General features: G+C 58.4%; 2 long non-coding RNA genes and 14 other non-coding genes across 16 annotated transcripts in view; all 16 read left to right on the plus strand.

Annotated features, from left to right (window-relative positions):
• The window catches only part of SNHG14 (small nucleolar RNA host gene 14), a 595855-nt gene that overhangs the window by 380324 nt on the left and 189513 nt on the right, over positions 1-26018 (plus strand). The window contains exons 97-116 of the long non-coding RNA NR_146177.1: positions 239-369; positions 753-797; positions 2112-2269; positions 2654-2698; positions 3965-4096; positions 7676-7807; positions 8193-8238; positions 9528-9659; positions 10043-10087; positions 13282-13411; positions 14509-14633; positions 14997-15041; positions 18228-18359; positions 19128-19259; positions 19644-19687; positions 21084-21215; positions 21598-21642; positions 22987-23118; positions 24849-24980; positions 25363-25403. This is a non-coding gene — a long non-coding RNA (small nucleolar RNA host gene 14). The remainder of the gene's footprint in view (positions 1-238; positions 370-752; positions 798-2111; positions 2270-2653; positions 2699-3964; positions 4097-7675; positions 7808-8192; positions 8239-9527; positions 9660-10042; positions 10088-13281; positions 13412-14508; positions 14634-14996; positions 15042-18227; positions 18360-19127; positions 19260-19643; positions 19688-21083; positions 21216-21597; positions 21643-22986; positions 23119-24848; positions 24981-25362; positions 25404-26018) is intronic.
• Positions 426-507, plus strand: SNORD115-19 (small nucleolar RNA, C/D box 115-19). The gene has a single exon (NR_003311.1). It is a non-coding gene; the product is annotated as a small nucleolar RNA, C/D box 115-19 (small nucleolar RNA).
• On the plus strand, positions 2331-2412 carry SNORD115-20 (small nucleolar RNA, C/D box 115-20). The gene has a single exon (NR_003312.1). It is a non-coding gene; the product is annotated as a small nucleolar RNA, C/D box 115-20 (small nucleolar RNA).
• Positions 4152-4232, plus strand: SNORD115-21 (small nucleolar RNA, C/D box 115-21). Its single transcript, NR_003313.1, has one exon. It is a non-coding gene; the product is annotated as a small nucleolar RNA, C/D box 115-21 (small nucleolar RNA).
• SNORD115-22 (small nucleolar RNA, C/D box 115-22) lies at positions 5987-6068 on the plus strand. Its single transcript, NR_003314.1, has one exon. It is a non-coding gene; the product is annotated as a small nucleolar RNA, C/D box 115-22 (small nucleolar RNA).
• PWAR4 (Prader Willi/Angelman region RNA 4) lies at positions 7761-8102 on the plus strand. Its single transcript, NR_022010.1, has one exon. It is a non-coding gene; the product is annotated as a Prader Willi/Angelman region RNA 4 (long non-coding RNA).
• Positions 7865-7946, plus strand: SNORD115-23 (small nucleolar RNA, C/D box 115-23). Its single transcript, NR_003315.1, has one exon. It is a non-coding gene; the product is annotated as a small nucleolar RNA, C/D box 115-23 (small nucleolar RNA).
• SNORD115-24 (small nucleolar RNA, C/D box 115-24) lies at positions 9728-9798 on the plus strand. Its single transcript, NR_003495.1, has one exon. It is a non-coding gene; the product is annotated as a small nucleolar RNA, C/D box 115-24 (small nucleolar RNA).
• Positions 11610-11691, plus strand: SNORD115-25 (small nucleolar RNA, C/D box 115-25). Its single transcript, NR_003342.1, has one exon. It is a non-coding gene; the product is annotated as a small nucleolar RNA, C/D box 115-25 (small nucleolar RNA).
• SNORD115-26 (small nucleolar RNA, C/D box 115-26) lies at positions 14686-14767 on the plus strand. Its single transcript, NR_003343.1, has one exon. It is a non-coding gene; the product is annotated as a small nucleolar RNA, C/D box 115-26 (small nucleolar RNA).
• On the plus strand, positions 16572-16647 carry SNORD115-27 (small nucleolar RNA, C/D box 115-27). The gene has a single exon (NR_003496.1). It is a non-coding gene; the product is annotated as a small nucleolar RNA, C/D box 115-27 (small nucleolar RNA).
• Positions 18423-18496, plus strand: SNORD115-28 (small nucleolar RNA, C/D box 115-28). Its single transcript, NR_003497.1, has one exon. It is a non-coding gene; the product is annotated as a small nucleolar RNA, C/D box 115-28 (small nucleolar RNA).
• SNORD115-29 (small nucleolar RNA, C/D box 115-29) lies at positions 19315-19396 on the plus strand. Its single transcript, NR_003344.1, has one exon. It is a non-coding gene; the product is annotated as a small nucleolar RNA, C/D box 115-29 (small nucleolar RNA).
• Positions 21272-21353, plus strand: SNORD115-30 (small nucleolar RNA, C/D box 115-30). The gene has a single exon (NR_003345.1). It is a non-coding gene; the product is annotated as a small nucleolar RNA, C/D box 115-30 (small nucleolar RNA).
• On the plus strand, positions 23178-23259 carry SNORD115-31 (small nucleolar RNA, C/D box 115-31). Its single transcript, NR_003346.1, has one exon. It is a non-coding gene; the product is annotated as a small nucleolar RNA, C/D box 115-31 (small nucleolar RNA).
• On the plus strand, positions 25036-25117 carry SNORD115-32 (small nucleolar RNA, C/D box 115-32). Its single transcript, NR_003347.1, has one exon. It is a non-coding gene; the product is annotated as a small nucleolar RNA, C/D box 115-32 (small nucleolar RNA).

The raw sequence follows: 26018 nt of genomic DNA on the forward strand, positions 1-26018 counted from the left end.
GATTATGAGTGGGGCTCTCCATCCCCGGAGAGAGGTGGGCAATCAGGCCCATGTGGTCAGGCTTGTAGGGTTCGGTGGTGGGGAGAGCCAAGGTTTCCCTGGGTCCATTACCGTCACTGTTTCACCTGGATCCCATCACATGGGTCCATGGAGGGAGAGCATGTGTGAACAGGCACCCCTTGCTCCCTTTCCCACATGAGCCCCTGGTTGGACATATGTCCTCCTCCTGTCCCCCCAGATGGTGGCCCTGGAGGAGGACTTGTATTGGGGCCACTGGCCCCACGTCAGTGTTCGTCAGCCTGGCATCCAGCCCCTGGTGTGCTGAAGCTCAGGCCCTTCCTGTTGCCCTAGTCTCCTGCACTGAGCTTGGTGAGTCCATTCGGGGACTGCTGGATGCATGGGCGGGTAGGGAGGTGCCCTGGGTTGGGTCGATGATGAGAACCTTATATTGTCCTGAAGAGAGGTGATGACTTAAAAATCATTCTCAAAAGGATTATGCTGAGGCCCGGCCTAGGTTAGAATTTTGGAAGAGGATTCTCGGATCCTGAGATCCCCAGCCAGGCCACTGAATTTTTGGCTGGAGTCCTTGAGGCCCTGAAGGGTGTCTGAGGGCTGCTGAAACCTGTCTCTGTGCTTGTCCGTGAGGCAACCCACATTCGCTGTGTGGACTTGGTGTTGGCCTTCCCGTTCTCCGGGGATGGGACATACTGTCAGCTTGTCCCTGAGTACCCGTTCTCCCCTGTGTCTTTCAGTGAGCTCTTCTGCCCAGGTGGTCCCCCTGGTCTTGATGGGCATAGGTGAGTACATCCTGCTGGTGTCCTGGTCCATGAGCCAGGGTGCGTACGGTTGCCGGAGGTCACCTTTAGGCCATGTGGGTTTCCTCAGGGAGCTGACCTGAATCCCCACTGGGAGGGATGGTTTCTCCAGGAGGATGTCTTCCATAGAAACTGGTTCCAAGAAGGATGCCTTCCCTGAAGCTGTGCAGGGGTGACGATGGTCCAGGCAGGAAAGGGTCCATTCAACCCAATGCAGTACAGCTTCTAGCTGAGACTCGGTGCACGGGTGAGGGCTTGAGGACTCCCAGGCAACATGAGGGGTTCCACAGGATCTCCGGAGGCCACAGGTGTTAAGCAGGAACTCTCCATCCTTGAGGCTTGCTGGGGGTGGCGGGATGGCAGCAGGGTGTGGGTGATCGAGTTTATGGATTCAGGCCAAGATTCAAGGGTCAGGCCCCACCCATTGCCCTGATGGGACCAACCCTGTTGTGCAATGGGCTGTCCCACTGGTGCCTCCTTGAGCCTGGTGTGGGCAGCGTGGCTTCAATGGGGTTGGGTCAAGGCTGAGCTCTGGCCCGCACCTGGTGGTTGGCCCTGGGAATTGTGGACTTTGGGCCAAGGGTGCAGCCCGCCTGCCTCTGGAGGTCATCCTACCCAGAGGTGGAGTGGCCGGAAGGGTGGCAGGCATCCTGTGGTGAAAGGCCCACTGTTGAGGGTCCTGTCCCACCAATTTGCTGTTCAGGCTGCTTCTAAGCCATGGGTTCACCTCCAGAGAGGCGGGATCTTGAGCCCAGGGAAAGGAGAGGGCATCATGTGTCCCCTGATTGGCTGAGAATGGGGAGAGTGTTTGGGTGGTATGTGGTGCATGAATGGGGACCCACCAGAGAAGGCGCGTGGCCCTGGGCCCCAGGATGCAATTTCCGGCGTGCTTATAGAGGGCGTCTGAGTGGACACTCTCCATGCCCAGGCGCAGGCTATGTGACTGCCAGGTCTGCAGCAGTTTGTGGCATCTGGGCTAGCCTCCTTGATTGCTTATGAGCTGGTTGATAGCCCTGGCCTGTGCCGAGGGGTCCTGGTGCGGCCCTGGGGTTGTTCAGGGGAAGCCGGCATGGGCAGTGGAGGTGCTCTTGGGGCCTGCAGTAGGGCACAGCCCAGGTGTTCTTGCTTGAGCGCAGTGAACCACCTGCCCTTTCCTTCCAGGGTTCGGTAGCAGGGAGGGCCAAGGGTCCCCCACGTCCATGACAGGTCAGCGTTCCTCCTGGATCCCATCACATGGGTACATGCAGGGAGAGCATGTGTGAGCCGGCACTCCCCACTCTCTTCCCCGCATTGCAGGGTGAGGCCCTGTTTGGACCCATCTTCCAGCTATCTCACCAGATGGTGAGCCCAGAGGAAGACCCCGTGGCTCTGGGCCAGTGTGCGTCAGCCAGGTCCCCAGCCCCCAGTGTGCTGAAGCTCAGGCCCTTCCCAACGCCCTGGTCTCCTGCACTGAGGTGTGGTGAGCACAACCAGGTCCCACTGGATGCATGCACAGGGAGGGATGTGCCCTAGGTTGGGTCGATGATGAGAACCTTATATTGTCCTGAAGAGAGGTGATGACTTAAAAATCATGCTCAATAGGATTATGCTGAGGCCCAGTCTAGGTTAAAATTCTGGAAGAGGATGCTGGGATCCCAAGTTCACAGGCAGGGCCACTGTATTTTGGACTAGAGAACTCGAGGCCCTAAAGGGCATCTTGAGGGGGTCCAACCTGTCTCTGTGCTCCTCCATGAGGCAGCCCTGGCTCCCTGTGTGGCCTTGGTGTTGGTGCTCTGGTTCCCAGGCGTGGCATGTGGGCACCTCCTTCCAGAGCCCCCATTCTCCCCTGTCTCTTTCAGTGAGCTCTTCCGCCCATTTGGGCCCTCTGACATTGACCGGCATAGGTGAGTGGATCCTCTTTGGGTCATGGGTCATGAGCGAGGCAAAGTGGGGTCACCATGCATCTGCCTTCGGGCCATGAGAGTTTCCTAAAAGTGTGGACCTGAATTCCCACCGGGGATGAGTTATCCAGAAGGGCCACTTCCTTGGGAATCGGACCCAAGAAGGACGCCTGTCCTGAAGCCCAGCAGGGGTGGTGGTGGTCCAGGCAGGAAAGGGTTCATTCAGCACCAAGCAGGCAGCTCCCATCTGAGACTTGGTGCATCGGTCAGGCCTTGAGGACTGCCCAGGACACATGAGGTGGCCACAGGGGCTCCGGGGCACTACAGGGGGTCTGCAGAGAGGGGTAGGCGATTGGGTCCGTGGGGGTCATGCCGCGGAGTTTCAAGGACACCCATGGCCCTGAATGGGACTGACCCTGTTGAGTAATGGGCCATCCCAATGGCACCTCCTTGAGTCTGGCGGTGGGTGGTGCTGTTTCCCTGGGGCTAGGTCAAGGCTGAGCTCTGGCTAGTGCCTGTGGTGCTGCAGGCTGGCCCTAGAACTCATGGGCTTTGGGCCATGGGGACAGCTTGTGTCATGCTTGGGGTCACCCCTTCCCGGAGGTTGAATGGCGGGAGTGGTGGCTTCCTAAGGTGGGAAGTCCTGCTATTGAGCAACCTGTCCTGGGAATTTGCCACCCAGGCTGCTTCTGAGACATGAGGTCACCTCCAGAGTGGCAGCATCTTGGGTCCAAGGAAAGAGGAGCATAACATGTGTCCCCAGATTGGTTGAGTGTGGCCTAGCTCTGTGTTTGGGAGGTGTGCAGGGTGTGGATGGGGATGTATCAAAGAAAGTACATAGCCCTGGAGCCCCAGGCTGTGATTTCCAGTGTGTGCTTGGAGAGGGGCAGGAGCAGGCTCTCGACTGCCAGGTCTGCAGCAGCGCGTGGCATCCGGGCAAGCCTTCTGGTTGGCCATGTGCTGGTTGGTGGCCCTGGCCTGTGCCCAGTGGTCTCAGGGTAGACCTGGCATTGTGCAGGGCAGCCAGCAGGGCAGTGGAGGTGCTCTCAGGACCTGCAGTAGGGCGCAGCCTGGACTTTTTGTGTGAGACCAGTGACCCACCTGCACTGTCCTTCCAGGGTTGGGTGGCTGGGAGGGCCAAGGGTGGTCCATGTTTGTCTCCGTGACACATCAGTGCTCTGCATGGATCCTATCACATGGATATCCCCTACCCACCTTCCCCACATGGAAGCATGAGGCCTTACTTGGACATGTGTCCTCCTGTCCTAGATGGTGAGCTCGGAGGAAGACTTGCATTGGGCCCAATGGAGCTGGGCCAGTTTCTGTCAGCCAGGTCCCCAGCTCCTGATGCACTGAAGCTCAGGCCCTTCCTGGAGCCCTGGTCTCCTGCCCTGAGCTGTGGTGAGCCCATCTGGGTCCCACTGGATGCATGCATGGGAGGGGGTTGCCCTCGGTTGGGTCGATGATGAGAACCTTATATTTTCTGAAGAGAGGTGATGACTTAAAAATCATGCTCAATAGGATTACGCTGAGGCCCAACCTAGGGGAGAATTTTGGAAGAGGACGCTGGGATCCTGAGGTCCGTGGCAGGGCCACCGTATTTTGGGCTGGAGACCTCAAGGCCCTGAAGGGCATCTTGGCAGCCCCCAGCCCTGTCTCTGCACTCCTCCGTGAGGCAGCCCAGGCTCCCTGTGTGGGCTTGGTGTCAGAGTCCCATTCCCCAGGGGCGGGGCAGGTTGGCGGCTCCTCCCTGAGTCCCCTTTCTCCCTTGTGTCTTTGAGTGACTTCTTCTGCCCAGGTGGGCCCCCTGGCGTTGACCAGCATAGGTGAGTGGAACCTGCTGGTGTCATGGGCCATGAGCCAGGCCATGTGGGGACTCCAGGTCAGCCTTCAGGACAGGAGAGTTTCCTCAGGGAGCAGGGGAATCCCCACTGGGGAGGGATGGGTTCTCCCAGAGGGCCACTTTCTTTTGAATCGGACCCATGGAGGACATCTTCTCTGAAGACCTGCAGAAGTGATGATGTTTCAAGCAGCAAAGGGTTTTTTCAGCCCCTGCAGGGCAGGCAGCTCCCAGATGAGATTCTGTGCATGGGTCAGGCCTCAAGAACTGCCCAGGCCACATGCGGGGTGCCACACAGGCTGTGAGGCACCACAGGGGTCATGCAGGAGCTCTCGGTCTTCAGGCTTGTTGTGGGGGTGGTGACAGAGTGATCAGGCCCACAGGGTCAGGCTGCAGTGTTTCAAGGATCGCGCCCACCTGTGGCCCTGAATGGGACCGATGCTGTTGAGCAATGAGCCATCCCAGTGGCTCCACATTGAGCCTGGTGGGGGCGCCACTGTTTCAGTGGGGATGGGTGAAGCTTGAGCTCTGGCCAGCACCTGATGGTGTTGCAGGCTGGCCCAGGGACTTGTGGGCTTTGGGCCAGGTCGGCAGCCTGAGTTCTGCTGGGGGTCACATCTTTCCTGAGTTTCAGTGTCAGGATGCATGGCCTCCTTAGGTGGGAAGGCCTGCTGTGGAGGGTCCTGTCCTGGGAATTTGCTGCCCAGGCTGCTTCTGAGCCATGGCGTCACCTCCAGGTGGTGGGGTCTTGGGCCCAAGGAGCAGAGAAGACACCATGTGGCCCCTGATTGGTCGAGTATGGCCTGGCTCTGAGTTTGGGAGGTGTGCAGGGCATGGATGGGGACCCACCAGAGAAAGCACGGGCCAATGAAGCCCCAGGCTGCGATTTCTGATGCGCACTTGGAGAGGGCGCCTGGTTGGGCGCCCACCATGCCCAAGGGTAGGCTATGCAACTACCAGGTCTGCGGCAGTGCCTGGCATCAGGACCAGCCTCCTTTGTTGGCTGTGAGCTGGTTGGTGGCCCTAGCCCGTGTCCAGTGATCTCTGTGCAGCCCTGGGGTCATGTGGAGCAGCCAGTGTAGGCAGGGGAGGTTATCTTGAGGTGTGCAGTAGGCACATCCCAGGCATCTTGCCCGAGCCCAGTGACCTCCCTGCCCTGTCCTTCCAGGGTTCGGTGGCGGGGAGGCCCAAGGGTACCCTGTGTCCATGACAGGTCAGTATTTCATGTGAATCCCATCACATGGGCCCTCCTCCTGTCCCCCCAGATGGTGAGCCTGGAGGAAGACTTGCACTGGGCCTTCTGTGCGCCGGCCAGAGGCCATCAACCAGGTGCCCAGGTCCTTTTGTACTGAAGCTTGGGCCCTTCCTGGCACCCTGGTCTCCTTCATGGAGCTGGTGAGCCCATCCGGGTTCTTCTGGATGTATGCATGGGGAGCGGGGTGCACTGGGTTGGGTCAATGATGAGAACCTTATATTGTCCTGAAGAGAGGTGATGACTTAAAAATCATGCTCAATAGGATTACGCTGAGTCCCAGCCTAGGTGACAATTTTGGAAGTGGACACTGAGAATCACAAGGACCCTGGCAGGGCCACTGTATTTTGGGCTGGAGACCTGGAGGCCCTCAAGGGCCTCTCACAGGGACCCAACCCTGTCTCTGCACTCCTCCGTGAAGCACAGCAGGCTCCCTGTGCGGACTTGGTGTTGGCACTGTTTCCCAGGGGCAGGGCACATTGGTGGCTTTTCCCTGAGTCCCCATTCTTGCCTTGTGTCTTTCAGTGAGCTCTTCAGCTCAGAAGGGCCCCTTCACCTTGATTAGCCTAGGTGAGTGCATCCTGCTGGTGTCATGGGCCATGAGTCAGGCCGCGTGGGGTCACCAAGGGTCAGTCTTTAGGACAGGAGGGTTTCCTCAGGGAGCCAACCTGTATTTCCACCGGGGAGGGATGGTTTCTACAGGAGGGCGGCTTCCTTGGGAACTGGACCCAAGATGTTGCCTTCCTGAAGCCCTGCAGGGATGACAGTGGTCCAGGCAGCAAAGACTTCCTTCAGCCCCGTGCAGGAGAGCTCCCAGCTGAGACTCAGTGCATGTGTCAGGCCTCGAGGATTGCCGAGGCCACATGATGGGGGCCACAGGGCCTCCGGGGCACCACGGGGGTCATGCAAGAGTTCTCTTTCCCTGGAGAGGGGTGCTTGAATGAGCCTATGGGATTGGGCCGTGGAGATTCAAGGATTGTACCCAACTATGTCCCAAAATGGGACTGACCCTGTTGAGCTATGGACCATCCCATGGTGCCTCTTTGAGCTTGGTGGGGGGCAGTGCTGTTTCCCTGGGTTTGGGTCAAGGCTGAGCTCTGGCCAGTGCCTGGTGAGGCTGTGGGCCGGACCTGGGACTCGTGAGCTTTAGGCCAAGTCGACAGCTTGTGTCCTGCTGGAGGTCACCCCTTCCCCATGGGTGAGTGGCTGGAAGAGTGGAATGTGCGGTGGGAAGGCCCGCTGTTGATGGTCCTATCCTGAGAATTTGCTGCCCAGACTCTCTGTGCCATGGGGTCATGTCCAGGGTGGCAGGGTCTTGGGCCTAGGGAAAGGAAAGGACACCATGTGGCCCAGGATTGGCCAAGGGTGGCCCGGATCTGTGTTTGGGACATGTGTGGGGCATGGATGGGGACCCACCAGAGAAAGCACATGGCCCTGGTACTCCAGGCTGTGATTTCAGGTGTGGCTTGGAGAGAGTGCCTGGGCAGGTGCCCACCATGCCCAGCGGCAGGCTATGCAACTTCCATGTCCACGGTGGCACATGGCTTCTGGGCCAGGCTCCTCGGTTGGCCATGAGCATGTCGGTGACCCTGTCCCATGCTCAGTGGTCCTGGGGCAGCCCTGGGATCGTGTGAAGGAGAAGTCAGAGGGGGCACTGGATGTGCCCTCAAGGTCTGCAATAGCATGAAGACCAGGGGTCTTGCCCAAGCCCAGTGATCCACCTGCCCTGTTTTTTCAGGGTTTGGTGATGGGGAGGGCCGAGAGTGCCCTGTATCCGTGACAGGTCAGTGTTCCACATGGATCCCATCACATGGGTATCCCTTACCCCATTCCCCACCTGGAGGTATGAGGCCCTGTTTGGACACATGTCCTCCTCCTGTCCATCCAGATGGTGAGCCTGAAGGAAGACTTGCATCAGGACCAATGGACCCTGGCAAGTGTCCGTCAGCCAGGTGCTCAGCCCCTGGTGCACTGAAGCTCAGGCCCTTCCTGGCCCCTTGATCTCCTGCACTGAGCTGTGGTGAGCACATCCGGGTCCCGCTGGATGTATGTGTGGGCAGGGGGGGTGCCCTGGGTTGGGTCAATGATGAGAACCCTATATTGTGTTGAAGAGAGGTGATGACTTAAAATTACCATGCTCAATGATTACGCTGAGGCCCAACCTAGGTGAGAAATTTGGAGGAGGATGCTGGGATCCCGAGATTTCCGGCAGGGCCACTGTATTTTGGGCTGGAGCCCTGGAGGCCCTGAAAGGTATCTGGAGGAGGCCCAACTCTGTCTCTGCACTCCTCTGTGAGGCAGCCCAGGCTCCCTGTGCGGGCTTGGTGTTGGCCTTTCTGTTCCCCAGTGAAGTGGCACGTGGGTGGCTCCTCCCTGAGCCCCAGTTCTCCCCTTGTGTCTTTCAGTGAGCTCTTCTGCCAAGGGGGGGCCTCCTGGCATTGACCAACATAGGTGAGTGGATCCTGCTGGCATCATGGGCATGGGTTCACTGAGGGTCAGACTTCAGGCCATGAGGGTTTCCTCAGGGAGCTGACCCCAATTCCCATCAGGGAGGGATGGTTTCTCCAGGAGGGCGGCTTCCTTGGGAATCTTACCTGAGGAGGATGCCTTCCCTGAAGATCTGCAGGAATGACAATGGTCCAGATAGCAAAGGGTTCCTTCAGCCCCATGCAGGACATCGCCCAGTTGAGACTTGGTGTGCAGGTCAGGCCTTGAGGACTGCCCAGGCCACATGAGGCGGGCCAGAAGGGCTCCAGGGTGCCACGGGTTTCACTTGGGAGCTCTCGGTCCCCGGGCATGTTCCTGGGGGGGGTGGTGATGGGGTCGGGCCATGGAGGTTCAAGGATCTCATCCCACCTGTGACCCTGAATGGGGCTGATCCTGTTGAACAATGGGCCATCCCAGTGGCACGTATTGAGCCTGGTCAGGGGTGGTGCAGTTTCAATGGGGTTGGGTCAAGGTTGAGATCTGGCCAGCTCCTGGTGGTGCTTCAGGCCAGTCCTGTGACCCATGGGCTTTGGGCTAAGGGGGCATCCCATGTCCCATGGGGGTCACCTGTTCTCCATGTTTGAGTGGCAGTAACAGTGGCATTCTGAGGTGGGAAGGTCCACTGTCTAGGGTGTTGTACCGGGAATTTGCCACCCCGCCTTCTTAGCCAAGGGGTCACCTCCAGGGTCTCGGGATCTTGGGCCCAAGGAAACGAGAAGATACCATGTGGCCCTTGATTGGCCGAGTGTGGCCCAGCTCTGTGTTTGAGAGGTGTGGGATATGAATGGGGTCCCACCAGTGAAAGCTCATGGCCCAGGTCCCCAGGCTGTGATTTTTAGTGCACACTTGGGGAGGGCTCCTCAGTGGGTGCCCACCACGCCCAGAGGCAGGCTATGTGACTGCCAGGTCTGCAACGGTGCATAGCTTCCAGGCTACCCTCCTTGGTTGGCTGGGAGCGGGTTGGTGGCCATGGCCCATGCCCAGTGGTCACAGGGCAACCCTGGGATCATGCAGGGGAGCTGGTGAGGGCAGTGGAGGTGCTCTCCGGAACGGAAGTATGGCTCAGCCCAGGTATCTGGCCCAAACCCAATGACCAGCCTGCCTTGTTTCTCAGGGTTTGGTGATGGGGAGGGCCAAGGGTGCCCTGCATCTGTGATGGGTCTGTTCCACATAGAACCCATTACAGGGGATCCCTTCTCCACATGGAGATGTGAGGCCCTATTTGGACACATATCCTCCTCCTGTCCCCCCAGATGGTGAGCCTGGAGGAAGATTTGCATTGGGCCCAATGGCCCTGGGCCAGTGTCTGTCAGCCAGTTTCCCAGCCCCTGGTGCACTGAAGCTCAGGCCTTTCCTGGCATCCTGGCCTCCTGCACTGAGCTGTGGTGAGTATATCATGGTCCTGCTGGATGCATGTGCAGGGAGGGAAGGTGCCTTGGGTTCAGTCAGTGTCGAGAACCTTATATTGTTCTGAAGAGAGGTGGTGACTTAAAAATCATGCTCAATAGGATTACGCTGAGGCCCAGCCTAGTTGAGAATTTTGGAAGGGGACAGTAGGATCCCGAAGTCCCTGGCAGGGCCCTTATATTTTAGGCTGGAGACTTCAAGGCCCTGAAGGGCACCTGGAGGTGGCTCAACCTGTCTCTGTGCTCCTCCATGAGGCAGTCCAGGCTCCCTCTGTGGGCTTTCTGTTGGCACTCTGGTTCCCTGGGCCAGGGAACGTTGGTGGCTCCTCCCTGAGCCCCTGTTCTCCCCTTGTGTCTTTCAGTGAGTGCTTCTGCCCAGGCAGGCCACTTGGCATTGACCGGTATAGGTGAGTGGATCCTGCTGGGGTCATGGGTCATGAGCAAGGCCACATGGGTCGCCGAGGGTCAGCCTTACAGCCATAAGGGTTTTCTCAGGGAGCCCACCTGAATTCCCACCGGGGAGGCATAGGTTCTCCAGGAGGGCGGCGTTTTGGGGAATCAGACCCAAGGGGGACACCTTCCCTGAAGCCCTGCAAGGGTGATGGTGGTCCAGGCAGGAAAGGGTTTTTTTCAGCCCCACACAAGGCAGCTCCTAGCTGAGAATCGGTGCTTGGGTCAGACCTCAAGGATTGCCCAGGCCACATGAGGGCGACTGAGAGCCTCCGGGGCACCACAGGGGTCACGTGGGAGCTCTCGGTGCCTGGCGTGTGATGCACAAATGGACCTCTTGGGTTTGTTCATGGAGATTCAAGGATCGCACCCCACCATGCCCCTGAATGGGATGGTCCCTCTTGAGAAATGGGCCATCCCAGTGGGTCTCCTGGAGCCTGGTTGGGGGGTGGCATTGTTTCCCTGGGGTTGGGTGAAGGCAGAGTTCTGGCCGGCACCTGGTGGTGCTGCAGGTCAGCACTGGGACCCGTGGGCGTTGGGCCAAAGGAGAGCCCGAATCCCACTGGGGGTCACCCTTTTTCCAACATCAAATGTCTGGAAGGGTGGCCTCCTGAGGTGGGAAGTCCTGCTGTTGAGGGACATGTCCTGGGAATTTGTCACTCAAGCTTCTTCTGAGCTTTGGTGTCACATCCAGGGTGGCAGGGTCTTGGGTCCAAGCAAAGCAGAGGGCACCATGTGTCTCCTGATTGGCCAAGTGTTGCTGGCTCTGTGTGGGAGGTGTGCAGAGTATGGATGGGGACCCACGAGAGAAAGCACGTAGCACTGCAACTCCAGGCTATGATTTCTGTTGCATGCTTGGAGAGGGTGCCTGGACAAGCGTGCCATGCCCAGGGGCAGGCTGGGCAACTACCAGGTCTTCAGCGGAGTGTGACATCTGGGCCAGCCTCCTTGGTTGGCCGTGACCTGGTTGGTGGCCCGGCTCTGTGCCTACTGGCCCCAGGGCAGCCCTGGGATCATGCAGGGGAGCCATTTTGAACAGTGGAGGTGCTCTTGGGGCCTGTAGTATGGCACAGCCTAGGTGTTTTGCTCAAGCCCAGTGACCCACCTGCCCTGTCCTCTCCGGGATCGGTGGAAGGGAGGGCCAAAGGTGCTCCGTGTACTTGATGAGTCAGTATTTCACATTGAACTCATCACATGTGTCCATGGAGGGTGAGCAAGGGTGAGATGGCACTGCTGACCCCCTTCCCCACGTAGAGGTCAGTTTGGACACTTGTCTTCCTCCTGTCTCCCCACATGGCGACCCCAGAGGAAAACTTGTGTTGGGCCCGCTGTCACTGGGCCAATGTCAGTCAGCCAGGTGCCCAGCCCCTGGTGCGCTGAAGCTTGGGCCCTTCTGGCACCCTTGGCTCCTGCACTGAGCTGTGGTGAGCCCATCTGGGTCCTGCTGGATGCATGTGCAGGGAGGGGGATACCTGGGTTAGGTCGATTATGAGAACCTTATATTGTCCTGAAGAGAGGTGATGACTTAAAAATCATGCCCAATAGGATTACGCTGAGGCCCAGCCTAGGTGAGAGTTTTGGAAGAGGATGCTGGGATTCTGAGGTCCCTGACAGAGTAAATGTATTTTGGGCTGGAGACCTTGAGGCCCTGAAGGGCATCTGGTGGGCCCACCCCTATCTCTGTGCTCCTCCGTGAGGCAGCCCAGGCTCCCTGTGCTGGCTTGGTATCTGGGCTCCGGATCCCTGGTTATGGGGCATGTTGGAGTCTCCTTCCTGAGTCCCCGTTCTCCCCTGTGTCTTTTGGTGAGCTCTTCTGCCCAAGTGGTCCCCGCGGCCTTGAGCGGCATAGGTGAGTGCATCCTGTTTCGGTCATGGGCCATGAGTGATGCAGCATGGGGTCCTCGACATTCAGCCTTCGGGCCACTAGGGTTTTCTCAGGCTGCCAACCTACTCCCCACCAGGGAGCAATGGTTTCTCCAGGAGGGCCACTTCCTTGGGAATCTGACCCAAGGAGCACATCTTTCCTGAAGCCCTGCAGGGGTGACAGTGGTCCAGGCAGCAAAGGGTTCCTTCAGCCCAATGTAGGGCAGCTCCCAGCTGAAACTCGGTGGACAGCTCAGGCCTGGAGTACTGTCCAGGGCACATGGGGAGGAGGGGCACAGGGAATGTGGCGCACCCTAGAGGTTACACTGGAGTTCTCTCTCCCTGGAGAGGGGTGAGTGATTGGGCCCACACAGTCAGGCTGTGAAGATTCAAGGAATGCTCCACACCCATGGCCTTGAATGGGACCAACCCTGTTGAGCAGTGGGCCATCTTATGGTACCTCCTTGAGTCTGGTGAGGGATGGCACTGTTTCAGTGAGGTTGGGTCAAGACTGAGCTCTGGCTGGCACCTGGTGCTGCTGCAGGCCCTGGGACTTGGGGGCCTTCAGTCAAGGGGGCAGCTCTGATCCTGCTGGGGACAAACCTTCCTTGAGGTCCAGTGGTGAAGAGTGTCCTCCTAAGGTGGGAAGGCCTGCTGTCAAGGGAATTTGCCACCCAGGCTGCTTCTGAGCCTTGGGGTCACCTCAGGGTGGCAGGGTCTTGTGCCCAAGGAAAGGAGAAGACACCATCTGGTTCCTGATTGGCTGAGTGTAGCCGGGCTCTGTGTGTCGGAGTTGGGCAGGGCATGGATGGGGACCCACCAGAGAAAGTGTGGCCCAGGGGCCCCCCAGGCTTGGAGAGGGCACCAGGGCCGGTGCCCACAATGCTCAGGTGCTGGCTCTGGGAGGGCCAGGTCTGCAGCGGCTTTTGGCATCTGGCCAACCACCTTGGTTGGCCAGGAGCTGGTTGATGGCCCTGTCCTGTGTCCTGTGCCCTGTGCCCTGTGTCCCTGGTATGGCCCTGGGGTCATGTGTGGGAGCTGGCCTGAGCAGTGGAGGTGCTCTTGGGGCCTGCAGTAGGGTACAGCCTAGGCATCTTGCCTGAGCCAGCACTGTCTTTTGCTTTCCCTGTCTTTCCAGGGTTTGGTGGCAGAGAGGGCAAAGGATGCCCCACATCTGTGTTGGGTCAGTGTTCAGCATGGATCCCATCACATGGGTATCCCTTAGCCCCTTCCCTGCATTGATATGTGAGGCCCTGGTTGGACACATGTCCTCCTTCTGTCCCTCTAGATGGTGAGCCTGGAGGAAGATGTGTGGGACCCGCAGGCCGAGGGCCAGTGTCTCTCAGCCAGGTGCTCAGCCCCCAGTGGGCTGAAACTCTGACCCTTCCTGGCACCCTGCTCTCCTGCACTGTGCTGTGGTGAGCACATCCGGGTTCCACTGGATGTTTGTGCAGGGAGGGGGTTCCCTGGGTTGGGTCAATGATGAGAACAGGGCCACATGAGGGGGGCCAGAGGGGCTACAGAGTGCCATGGGGTAACAAGGGAGCTCTTGGTCCCTGGAGTGTGGTGTGTGAATGGGCCCATGGGGTTGGGTAGCAGAGATTCAAGGATCCTGCTCTACCCATGGCCCTGAATGTGACCATCGCTGTTGAGCAATGGGCCATCCCAGTGGGTCTCCTGGGGCCTGGTTGGGGGGCGGAGTTGTTTCCCTGGGATTGGGTCAAGGTTGACTCTGGCTGGCACCTGGTGGTGTTGCAGGTCAGCCCTGGGACTCATGGGCTTTGGGCCAGGGACAGCCCGCATCCCGCTGGGGGTCACCCAAGTGTTGTGAAGGGTGGCCTCCTGAGTTGGGAAGGCCCGCTATTGAGGCATCTGTACTGGGAATTTGTTGCTCACGCTGCATGGGAGCCATGGTATCACCTCCAGGGTGGCAGTCTTGGGACCAAGCAAAGGAGGGGGCAGCATGAGACTCCGGATTGGCTATGTGTGACTGGCTATGTGTCTTGGAGGTATGTGGAGTATGGATGGGGACCCACCAGAGAAAACAAGTGACCCTGAGGCCCCATGCTGTCTTTTCTGGTGCCTGCATGGAGAGGGTGCCTGTACGCATGCCCACCATGCCCAGGGGCAGGCTGTGCCACTGTCAGGTCTGCAGTAGCATGTGGCATCTGGGCCAGCCTCCTTGGTTGGCTGTGACCTGGCTGGTGGCCCGGACCTCTGCCCAGTGGTCCCAGGGCAGCCCTAGGGTCATGCGGAGGAGCAGTTTTGGCCAGTGGAGGTGCCCTTGGGTCCTGCAGTCGTGCATACCCTGGGCGTTTTGCCTGAGCCCAGTGACCTACCTGCCTTGTCCTTCCCGGGTTCGGTGGCAGGGAGAGACACTTGCATAGGTGATGAGTCAGTATTTCGCATGGATCTCATCACATGTGTCCATGGAGGGGGAGCAAGCGTGAGCTGGCACCCAACACCCCTTTCTCCACATGGAGGGTGGTCACATGTTCTCCACCTGTTCCCCTAGATGGTGAGACTTCTGTTGGGCTTGCTTTTCCTGGGCCAGTGTCCATCAGCCAGGTGCTCAGCCATCGGTGCGCTGAAGCTCCAGCCCTTCCTGGTGCCCTGATCTCCTGCACTGAGCTGTGATGAGTACATCCGGGTTCCACTGGATGCATGTGCGGGAAGGGGGGTGCCCTGGGTTGGGTCAGTGATGAGAACCTTATATTGTCCTGAAGAGAGGTGATGACTTAAAAATCATGCTCAATAGGATTACGCTGAGGCCCAGCCTGGGGGAGAATTTTGGAAAAGGATGCTGGGATCCCAGGGTCCCCAACAGGGCCACTGTATTTTGGACCTGGGACCTGGTGGCTCTGAAGGGCATCTGGAGGTGGCCCAACCTGTCTCTGCACTCTAGTTTCCCTGTGTGGGCTTGGTGTCGGTGCTCCAGTTCCCTGGGGGCAGGGAATGTTGATGGCTCCTTCCTGAGTCCCTGTTCTCGCCTTTGTCTTTCAGTGAGCTCTTTCACCTAGGAGGGCCCCTTGGCATTGACTGGCATAGGTGAGTGGATCCTGCTGGTGTTATGGATCATGAGCCAGACCATATGGGGTCCCCAAGGATCAGCCTTTGGGCCACAAGGGTTTTCTCAGGGAGCTGACCTGAATTTCCACCTGAGACGGAAAGGTTCTCCTGGAAGGCAGGCTTTTTGGAATCGGACCCAAGGAGGACACCTTCTCTGAAGCCCTGAAGGGGTGATGGTGGTCCAGGCAGGAAAGGGTTCCTTCTGCCTAACATAGGACAGTGCCTAGTTGAGACTCGGTGCTGCAGTAAGGCCTTGAGGACTGCCCAGGCTACATGAGGGGGGCCAGAGGGGCTACGGGGCACCACAGGGTTAATGGTGACCTCTTGGTCCCCAGAGTGTGGTGCGTGAATGGACCCATGGTGTTGGGTTGTGGAGATTCAAGGATAGTGCCCCACCTATGGCCCTGAATGCAACTGTCCCTGTTTAGCAATGGGCCATCTCAGTGGGTCTCCTGGAGCCTGGTGGGGGGCAGAGTTGTTTCCTTGTGACTGGGTTAAGGTAGAGCTCTGGCCAGCACCTGGTGGTGTGGCAGGTCAGCCCTGGGACTCTTGGGCTTTTGACCAAGGGGCAGCCTGTATCCCGCTGGGGGTCATCCTATCTCTGAGGTCAAGTGTCGTGAAGGGTGGCCTCCTGAAGTGGGAAGGCTCGCTGTCGAGGGACCTGTCCTAGGATTTTATTGCTCAGGCTGCTTCTGAGCCATGGTGTCACCTCTAGGGTGATGGGGTCTTGGGAACAAGCAAAGGGGAGGGCACCATGTTGCTCCGGATTGGGCAAGTGTGGCCCAGCTCTGTGTGTGTGAGGTGTGCAGAACATGGATGGTGACCCACCAGAGAAAGCACATGGCCCTGTAGCTCTAGGTTGTGATTTCCGTGCACACTTGGAGACAGCATCTTGATGTGTGCCCAACACGCCCAGGGGCAGACTATGCGATAGCCAGGTCTGCAGCGGTGTGTGGCATCTGGGCCAGCCACCTTTGTTGGCCATGAGCTGGCTCATGGCCCTGACCCATGCCCACTGGTGTCAGGGGGCCCTGGCGTCGTGTGAGGAGCCATCTGTGGCAGTGGAGGTAGACTCAGGGCCTGCAGTATGGCGCAACCCATGCATTTTGCCTGAGCTCAGTGACCTACCTGCCCTGTTCCTCCAGGGTTTGGTGGCAGGGGGAGCCAAGGGTGCCCCACATTGGTGACGAGTTAGTACTTCACATGGATCTCATAACATGTGTCCGTGGAGGGCAAGCAAATGTGAGCCCGCACCCACTACTGCCTTCCCCACATGGAGGTCAGTTTGGACACATATCATCCTGCTGTCCCCCAAATGGTGAGACCGAAGAAGACTTGCCCTGGGCCCTCTGTTCTTGGGCCAGTGTCAGTCAGCCAGGTGCCCAGCTCTAAGTGCGCTGAAGCTTGGGCCTTTCCTGGAATGCTCGGCTCCCGCACTGAGCCAGGGTGAGCACATCCGGGTACTGCTGGATGCATGTGTGGGGCAGGGGTGCGCCCTGGGTTGGGCTGATGATGAGAACCTTATATTGTCCTGAAAAGAGGTGATGACTTAACAATCATGCTCAATAGGATTACATTGAAGCCCAGGATAGGTAAGAATTAGGGAAGATGATGCAGGGATCCCAAGATCTCCAGCTAGACCACACTTATTTTGCACTGGAGAACTTGAGAACTTGAAGGGCATCTCAGGGGAGCCCAACCCTGTCTCTGAGCTCCTTCGTGAGGCAGCCCAGGCTCCCCTTGCGGGCTTGGTGTCTGTGCTCCGCTTCTCCAGGGACAGGGCAATTTGGTGTTCCTTCCTGAATGCTCCTTCTTCCCTGTGTCCTTCAGTGAGCTCTTCTGCCCAGGTGGGGTCCCTAGCTTTGAGCGGCATAGGTCAGTGCATCCTGTTGGGGTCATGGGCCATGAGTGAGGCAGCATGGGGTTGGTGAGAGTCAGCCTTCAGGCCACTAGGGTTTTCTCAGGGAGCCAACCGATTACTCACCGGGAGGGATGGTTCCTCCAGGAGGGTCACTTCTTGGGAATCTGACCCTAGGAGCACACATTTCCTGAAGCTCGGCAGGGAGATGGTGGTCCAGGCAGGAAAGGGTTCCTTCAACCTAACGTAGGGCAGTTCCCAGCTGAAACTAGGTGGGCAGGTGAGGCTTGAGGACTGCCCAGTCCACATGAAAGGGGCCACAGGGGCTTTGGGGTGCCCTGGGAGTCATGCTGGAGTTCTTCCCCCAAGAGGGATGGGTGATAGGGTCCACGTGGTCAGGCTGCGGAGATTCAAGGAATGCCACCCACCCATGGCCCTGAATGGGACCAACCCTGTTGAGCAATGGGCCATTTTCGGCATGTTTCAATGCAGTTGGGTCAAGGCTGAGCGCTGGCTGGTGCCTGGTGGTGCTGCAGGCCGGCCCTGGGGCTCATGGGCTTTATGCCAAGGGGGCAACTCCCATCCCACTGGGGTAATCCCTTCCTTGAGGTCCAGTGGTGGGAAGGGTGGCCTCCTGAGGTGGGCAGACCTGCTGTCAAGGGACCTGTCCTGGGAATTTGCCACCTAGGCTGCTTCTGAGCCATGGGGTCACCTCCAGGATGGCGGGGTCTTCAGCCCAAGGAAAGGAGAGGACACCATGTGGTTTCTGATTGGCTGAGTGTGGCCTGGCTGTATGTGTGGGAGGTGTGCAGGGCATGGATGGGGACTCATCAGAGAAAGAATGTGGCCCTGGAGGCCCCCAGGCTTTGATTTCTGGTGTGTGCTTGGAGTGGGCACCAGGGTGGCCCTACCATGCCCAGGGGCAAGGTCTTTGCCTGCCAGGTCTGGAGTGGCTCCTGGCATCAGGACCACCCTCCTTGGCTCAACCAACCTTCAGCAGGTTGGCTGCCTTGGCCCGTGCCCCATGGTCCCGGTACGACCCTGGGGTTGTTCGGGGGATCTGGCCCAGGCAGTGGAGGTGCTCTTGGGGCCCACAGTAGGGCACAGCCCAGGCCTCTTGCCCCAGCCCAGTAACCCACTTGCCCTGTCTTTCCAGGGTTTTGTGGCAGGGAAGGCCAAGGGTGCTCTGCGTCCATGTTGGGTCAGTGTTCTGTAAGGATTCCATTACAAGGGTATCCCCTACCCACCTTCCCTACATTGATACATGAGGCCCTGGTTGGACACATGTCCTCCTCCTGTCCCTACAGATGGTGACCCTGAAGAAAGACTTCAGTTGGGCCTGAAGGCCCCGGGCCAGTGTCCATCATCCAGGTGCTCAGCTCCCAGTGCACTGAAGCTCAGACCCTTCCTGGTTCCCTGGTCTCTTGCACTGAGCTCTGGTGAGCACAACTGGGTGCTGCTGGATGCATGCATGGGGAGGGGGGTGCCCTGGGTTGGGGTGGTGATGAGAACCTTGTATTCTTCTGAAGAGAGGTGATGACTTAAAAACCATGCTCAATAGGATTACACTTAGGCCGAACCTAGGTGAGAATGTTGGAAGAGGACGTTGGGATCCTATTATCCCTGGCAGAGCCACTGTATTTTGGGCTGGAGACCTGGAGGCCCTGAAAGGGCATCTGGAGGGGGCCCAACCCTGTCTCTGTGCTCCTGCATGAGGGTCCCCAGGCTCCCTGTCCAGCCTTGGTGTTGGTGCTCTGGTACCCTGGGGATGGAACAAGTTGGTGGCTCTTTCCTGAGCCCCCATTCTCCCTTTGTGTCTTTCAGTGAGCTTTTCTGCCCAGGTGGGCACCCTGGCATTGATTAGCCTCCTTGGTTGTCCATGACCTGGCTGGTGGCCCGATCCTGTGCCCAGTGGTCCCAGGGCAGCCCTGGCATCATACGGGGCAGCTGTTTTGGGCAGTGGAGGTGCTCTCCAGGCCTGAAGTATGGCACAGCCTGGGCATTTTACCTGAGACCAGTGACCTGCCTGCCTTGTCCTTCCTGGGTTCGGTGGCAGGGAGGGCCAAGGGTGCCCTGCGTCAGTGATGAGTCAGTATTTTGTGTGGATCTCATCACCTGTCCATGGAGGGAAAGCAAGCATGAGCTGGCACCCAACACCCCCTTCTCCGCATGGAGGGTGGTCACATGTCCTCCACCTGTGCCCCCAGATGGTGAGACTTGAGGAAGACTTCCACTGGGCCTGCTTTTCCTGAGCCAGTGCCCATCACCCAGGTGCTCAGTCCCTGGTGCACTGAAGCTCCAGCCCTTCCTGGCGCCCTGGTCTCCTGAACTGAGCTGTGGTGAGCACATCCGGGTTTCACTGGATGTTTGTGCGGGGAGGGGGTTCTCTGGGTTGGGTCAATGATGAGAACCTTATATTGTCCTGAAGAGAGGTGATGACTTAAAAATCATGCTCAATAGGATTACGCTGAGGCCCAGCCTAGGGGAGAATTTTGGCAGAGGATGCCGGGATCCCAAGATTTCCGGGAGGGCCACTTGTATTTTGGGTTGGAGACCTGGAGGCCCTGAAGGGCGTCTGGAGGTGGCCCAGTGCTTTCTTTGCGCTCCTCTGTGAGGCAGCCCAGGCTCCCTTTGTGGGCTTGGTGTTTGCGCTCCTCTTCTCCAGTGATGGGGCACGTTGGGGGCTCCTCCCTGAGTCCTGGTTCTCCCCTTGTGTCTTTCAGTGAGCTCTTCTGCCAAGCGGTTCCCCTGGCATTGACCAACATAGGTGAGTGGATCCTGCTGGCATCATGGGCTATGAGCTAGGCCGCATGGGTTTGCTGAGGGTCAGACTTCAGGCCCCAAGGGTTTCCTCAGGGAACCGACCTCAATTCCCACCATGTGACTGCCAGGTTTGCAACAGTGCATAGCTTCCGAGCTACCCTCCTTGGTTGGCCGGGAGCTGGTTGGAGGCTGTGGCCCATGCCTAGTAGTCACAGGGCAGGCAGACTGCCCTGTTTTTTCAGGGTGTGGTGACGGGGAGGGCCAAGGGTGCCCTGCATCCATGATGGGTCAGGGATTTCAGGAGGGATGGTTTCTCCAGGAGGGCAGCTTCCTTGGGAATCTTACCCAAGGAGGATGTCTTCCCTGAAGCCCTGCAGGGGTGACGATGGTCCAGATAGCAAAGGTTTCCTTCAGCCCCATGCAGGACATCACCTAGTTGAGATATGGTATGTGGGTCAGGCCTTGAAGACTGCCCAGGCCACCTGAGGGGCCCAGAAGGGCTCTGGGGTGCCACAGGTGTTATGTAGGAGCTCTCAGTCCCCAGACTTGTTTCGTGGGGTTGGTGACGGGGTTGGGTTGTGGAGGTTCAAGGATTTCATCCCACCTGTGACCCTGAATGGGGCCAACCCTGTTGAGCAACAGGCCATCCCAATGGCACGTATTGAGCCTGGTGGGGTGTGGTGCAGTTTCAATAGGGTTGAGTCAAGGCTGAGATCCATCTGGTGCTTGGTGCTGCTGCTGGCCAGCCCTGGGACCCGTGGGCTTTGGGCTAAGGGGGTAGCCCACATCCTATTGAGGGTAACCCATTCTCCGAGTTTGAGTAACGGTTAACAGTGGCATTCTGAGGTGGGAAGGCCCACTGTCTAGGGTCCTATACTGGGAATTTGCCACCCCGGGTTCTTCTGAGACAAGTGGTCACCTCCAGGGTCATGGGGTCTTGGGCCCAAGGAAAGGAGAAGATACCATGTGGCCCTTGATTGGCTACATGTGGCCCAGGTCTGTTTGGGAGGTGTGTGGGATGTGGATGGGGTCCCACCAATGAAAGCACATGGCCTGGGTCCCCAGGCTGTGATTTTCAGTGCACACTTGGAGAGGGTGCCTCGGCGGGTACCTACCACATCCATGGGCAGGCTATGTGACTACCAGGTTTGCAACAGTGCATAGCTTCCAAGCTACCCTCCTTGGTTGGTCGGGAGCTGGTTGGAGGCTGTGGCCCATGCCTAGTGGTCACAGGGCAGGCAGACGGCCCTGTTTTTTCAGGGTATGGTGATGGGGAGGGCCAAGCATCCATGATGAGTCGGTGTTCCACATGGAACCCATTACGTGGGTATCTCTTACCCCTTCCTCATATGGAGATGTGAGGCCCTATTTGGACACATATCCTCCTCCTGTACCCCCAGATGGTGAGCCTGGAGGAAGACTTGCGTTGGGCCCAAAGGCCCTAGACCAGTGTCTGTCAGCCAGGTTCCCAACCCCCGATGCGCTGAAGCTCAAGCCTTTCCTGGCACCCTGGTCTCCTGCACTGAGCTGTGGTGAGTATATCCTGGTCCTGCTGGATGCATGTGCAGGGAGGTGGGTGCCTTGGGTTGGGTCAATGATGAGAACCTTATATTGTTCTGAAGAGAGGTGATTATTTAAAAATCATGCTCAATAGGATTACGCTGAGGCCCAGCCTAGTTGAGAATTTTGGAGGAGGACACTGGGATACCGAAGTCCCCCGCAGGGACTCTGTATTTTGGGCTGGAGACCTTGAAGCCCTGAAGGGCATCTGGAGGTGGCCCAACCTGTCTCTGTGCTCCTCCCTGAGGCAGCCCAGGCTCCTTTTGTGGGCTTGGTGTTGGGGCTCCAGTTCCCCAGGTCAGGGAATATTGGTAGCTCTTTACTGAGCCCCTGTTCTCCCTTTGTGTCTTTCAGTGAGCTCTTCTGCCCAGGCGGGCCCCCTGGAATTGATGGGTATAGGTGAGTGCATCCTGCTGGGGTCATGGGCCATGAGCCAGGCCACGTGGGGTCACCAGGGGTCCCCCTTCTGGCCATGAGGGTTTTCTCAGGGAACCGACCTGAATTACCACTGGGGAGGCATAGGTTCTCCAGGAGGGCGGCTATTTTGGGAATCGGATCCAAGGGGGACACCTTCCCTGAAGCCCTGTGGGTGTGATGGTGGTCCAGGCAGGAAAGGGTCCCTTCCACCCCACACAGGGCAGCTCATAGCTGAGAGTTGATGCTCAGGTCAGGCCTCAAGGATTTCCCAGGCCACATGAGGGGGACAGAGGAGCTCTGGGTGCCACGGGGGTCACATAGGAGCTCTCAGTATTCGGTATGTCATGCACAAATGGGCCTCTTGGGTTGGATTGTGGAGATTAAAGGATCGCGCACCACCGTGGCCCTGAATAGGACCATCCTTATTGAGCAATGGGCCATCCCAGTGAGTCTCCTGGAGCCTGGTGGAGGGGAGGGGGTGGCATTGTTTCCCTGGGGATGGGTCAAGGCAGAGCTCTGGCCAGCACCTTGTGGCTTCTGCAGGTCAGCCTTGGGACTCATGGGCATTGGGCCAAGGGGGAGCCCGCGTCCCACTGGGGGTCACCCTTTTTCCGACGTCAAGTATCTGGAAGAGTGGCCTCCTGATGTGGGAAGGCCTGCTGTCGAGGGACGTGTCCCAGGAGTTTGTCGCTCAAGTTTCTTCTGAGCTTTGGGGTCACATCCAGGGTGGCGGGGTCTTGGGCCCAAGCAAAGCAGAGGGCACCAAGTGTCTCCTGATTGGCCATGTGGCTGTCTCTGTGTGTGGGAGGTTTACAGAGTATGGATGGGGACCCACCAGAGGAAGCACGTGGCCCTGCAGCACCAGGCTGTGATTTCTGTTGCACACTTGGAGAGGTTGCCTGGACACGTGCCCTTCATGCCCAGTGACAGACTATGCAACTACCAGGTCTGCAGCAGGGTGTGACATCTGGGCTAGCCTCCTTGGTTGGCCGCCACCTGGCTGGTGGCCCGGATCTGTGCCCAACAGTCCCAGTGCAGCACTGGGGTCATGCAGGGGAGCTGTTTTGGACAGTGGAGGTGCTCTCGGGGCCTGCAATATGATGCAGCCTGGGCGTTTTGCTCAAGCCCAGTGACCCACCTGCCCTTTCCTTTCTGGGTTCAGTGGAAGGGAGGGCCAACAGTGTAGTGCGTACTTAACAAGTCAGTATTTCACATTGAACTCATCACATGTGTCCATGGAGGGCAAGCAAAGGTGAGCTGGCACCCCCGACCCCCTTCCCCAAACGGAGGTCAGTTTGGGCACACGTCTCCCTCCTGTCTCCCCAGATGGTGACCCCGGAGGAAAATTTGTGTTGGGCCCACTATCCCTGGGCCAATGTCAGTCAGCTAGGCACCCAGCCCCCAGTGCGCTGAAGCTCAGGACCTTCCTAGTGCCCTCGGCTCCTGCACTGAGCTCTGGTGAGTCCATCTGGGTCCTGCTGGATGCATGAGCTGGGGGCGGGAGGGTGCCCTGGGTTGGGTCAGTGATGAGAACCTTATATTGTCCTGAAGAAAGGTGATGACTTAAAAATCATGCTCAATAGGATTACACTGAGGCCCAGCCTAGGTGATAATTTTGGAAGAGGATGCTGGAATTCTGAGGTCCCTGACAGAGCAGCTGTATTTTGGGCTGGAGACCTTGAGGCCCTGAAGGGCATCTTGTGGGCCCACCCCTATCTCTGTGCTCCTCTGTGAGGCAGCCCAGGCTCCCTGTGCTGGCTTGGTATCCGGGCTCTGGGTCCCTGGTGACGGGGCATGTTGGAGGCTCCTTCCTGAGCCCCTGTTCTCCCTTGTCATTCAGTGAACTCTTCTGCACAAGTGACCCCCCCAGCCTTGAGCGGCATAGGTGAGTGCATCCTGTTTTGGTCATGGGCCATGAGTGATGCAGCATGGGGTCCCTGACATTCTGCCTTTGGGCCACCAGGGTTTTCTCAGGCTGCCAACCTACTCCCCACCAGGGAGCGATGGTTTCTCAGGAGGGCTGCTTCCTTGGGAATCTGACCCAAGGAGCAAGTCTCTCCTGAGGCCCTGCAGGGGTGACAGTGGTCCAGGCTGGAAAGGGTTCCTTCAGCCCAATGTAGGGCAGCTCCCAGCTGAAACTCAGTGGGCAGGTCAGGCCTCGAGTATTGCCCAAGGCACATGGGGGAGTGAGGCACGGGGGATACAGTGCGCCGTGGAGGTCACACTGGAGTTCTCCCCTCCCTGGAGAGGGATGAGTGACTGGGTCCACACGGTCAGGCTGTGGAGATTCAAGGCATGCTCCACACCCATGGCCTTGAATGGGACCAACCCTGTTGAGCAATAGGCCATCTTAGTGGCACCTCCTTGAGCCTGGTGGGGGACGGCACTGTTTCAATGAGGTTGGGTCAAGAGTGAGCTCTGGCTGGCACCTGGTGGTGCTGCAGGCCCTGGGACTTGTGGACTTTGGGCCAAGGGAGCAGCTCTGATCCTGCTGGGGACAAGCCTTCCTTGAGGTCCAGTGGTGAAAAGAGTGTCCTCCTGAGATGGCAAGGCCTGCTGTCGAGGGACCTGTTCTAGGAATTTGCTGCCCAGGCTGCTTCTGAGCCTTGGGGTCACCTCAGGGGGTGGCAGGGTCTTGAGCCCAAGAAAGGAAAAGACACGATGTGGTTCCTGATTGGCTGAGTGTGACCCGGCTCTGTGTGTCAGAGTTGGGCAGGACATGGATTGAGACCCACCATAGAAAGCATGTGATCCTGGAAGCCCCTAGGCTTGGAGAGGGCACCAGGGCCAGCGCCCACCACGCCTAGGTACGATCTCTCGGACTTCCAGGTCTGCAGCGGCTCTTGGCGTCTGGGCCAGCATGCTTGGTTGGCCAGGGGCTGGTTGGTGGCCCTGTCTTGTGCCCTGTGTCCCCGGTATGGCCCTGGGGTTGTGTGTGGTAGCAGGCCTGGGCAGTGGAGGTGCTCTTGGGGCCTGCAGTAGGGTGCTGCCCAGGCATCTTGCCCGAGCCAGGTGACACGCTTGCCCTGTCTTTCCAGGGTTTGGCGGCAGGGAGGGCCAAGGGTGCCCAGTGTCCGTGAGGGATCAGTATTCAGCATGGATCCCATCACATGAGTATCCCTTAGCCCCTTCTCTACATTGATGTGTGAGGCCCTGGTTAGACACATTTCCTCCTCCTGTCCCTCCAGATGGTAAGCCTGGAGGAAGACTTGTGTTGGGCCCACAGGCCCCAGGCCAATGTCTGTCAGCCAGGTGCTCAGCCTCTGGTGCGCTGAAACTCTGACCCTTCCTGGCACACTGGTCTCCTGCACTGAGCTGGGGTAAGCACATCTGGGTTGCACTGGATGTTTGTGTGGGGAGGGGGTTCCCTAGGTTGGGTCAATGATGAGAACCTGATATTGCCCTGAAGAGAGATGATGACTTAAAAATCATGTTCAATAGGATTACGCTGAGGCCTAGCCTAGGTGAGAATTTTGGAAGCAGATGCTGGGATCCCAAGGTCCCTTGCAGGGCCATCGTATGTTGAACTGGAGACCTGGAGGCTCTGAAGGGCATCTGGAGGTCGTGCAACCTGTCTCTGCACTCCTCTGTGAGGCAGCCCAGGCTCCCTGTGTGGGGTTGGTGTTGGTGCTATGGTTCCCTGGGGGTGGGGAACATTGGTGGCTCCCTCCAGAGCCCCTGTTCTCACCTTGTGCCTTTCAGATTTTCCACCTAGGAGGTCCACCTGGCATTGACTGACATAGGTGAGTGGATCCTGCTGGGGTCATGGGTCATGAGCCAGACCATGGGGGGATCCCAGAGATTCAGTCTTTGGGCAACAGTTTTCTCAGGGAGCAGACCTGAATTTCCACCTGGGAGGGAAGGGTTCTCCTGGAGGGCGACTTTTTTGGGAATCGGACCCAAGGAGGATGCCTTCCCTGAAGCCCTGCCGGGGTGATGGTGGTCCAGGCAGGAAAGTTCCTTCTGCTCAATGCAGGGCAGCACCCAGCTGAGACTCGGTGCTCCGGTAAGGCCTCCAGAACTGCCCAGGTCACATAAGGGGGGCCAGAGGGGCTACGAGGTGCCACGGGGTAACAGGGGAGCTCTTGGTCCCCAGAGTGTGGTGCATGAATGGGCCCATTCCGTTGGGTCTCAGAGATTTAAGGATTGCACCACACCATGGCCCTGAATGCAACCGTCCCTGTTGATCAATGGGCCATCCCATGGGTCTCCTGGAGCCTGGTGGGAGGCAGTGTTGTTTTCCTGGGGTTGGGTCAAGGCGGAGCTCTGGCTGGTACCTGGTGGTGCTGCAGGTCAGCCCTGGGACTTGTGGGCTTTGGGCCAAGGGGCATCCCGCATCCCGCTGGGGGCCACCCTTT

Source organism: Homo sapiens, chromosome 15 (assembly GCF_000001405.40).
Source record: "Homo sapiens chromosome 15, GRCh38.p14 Primary Assembly".
NCBI lineage: Eukaryota > Metazoa > Chordata > Mammalia > Primates > Hominidae > Homo > Homo sapiens.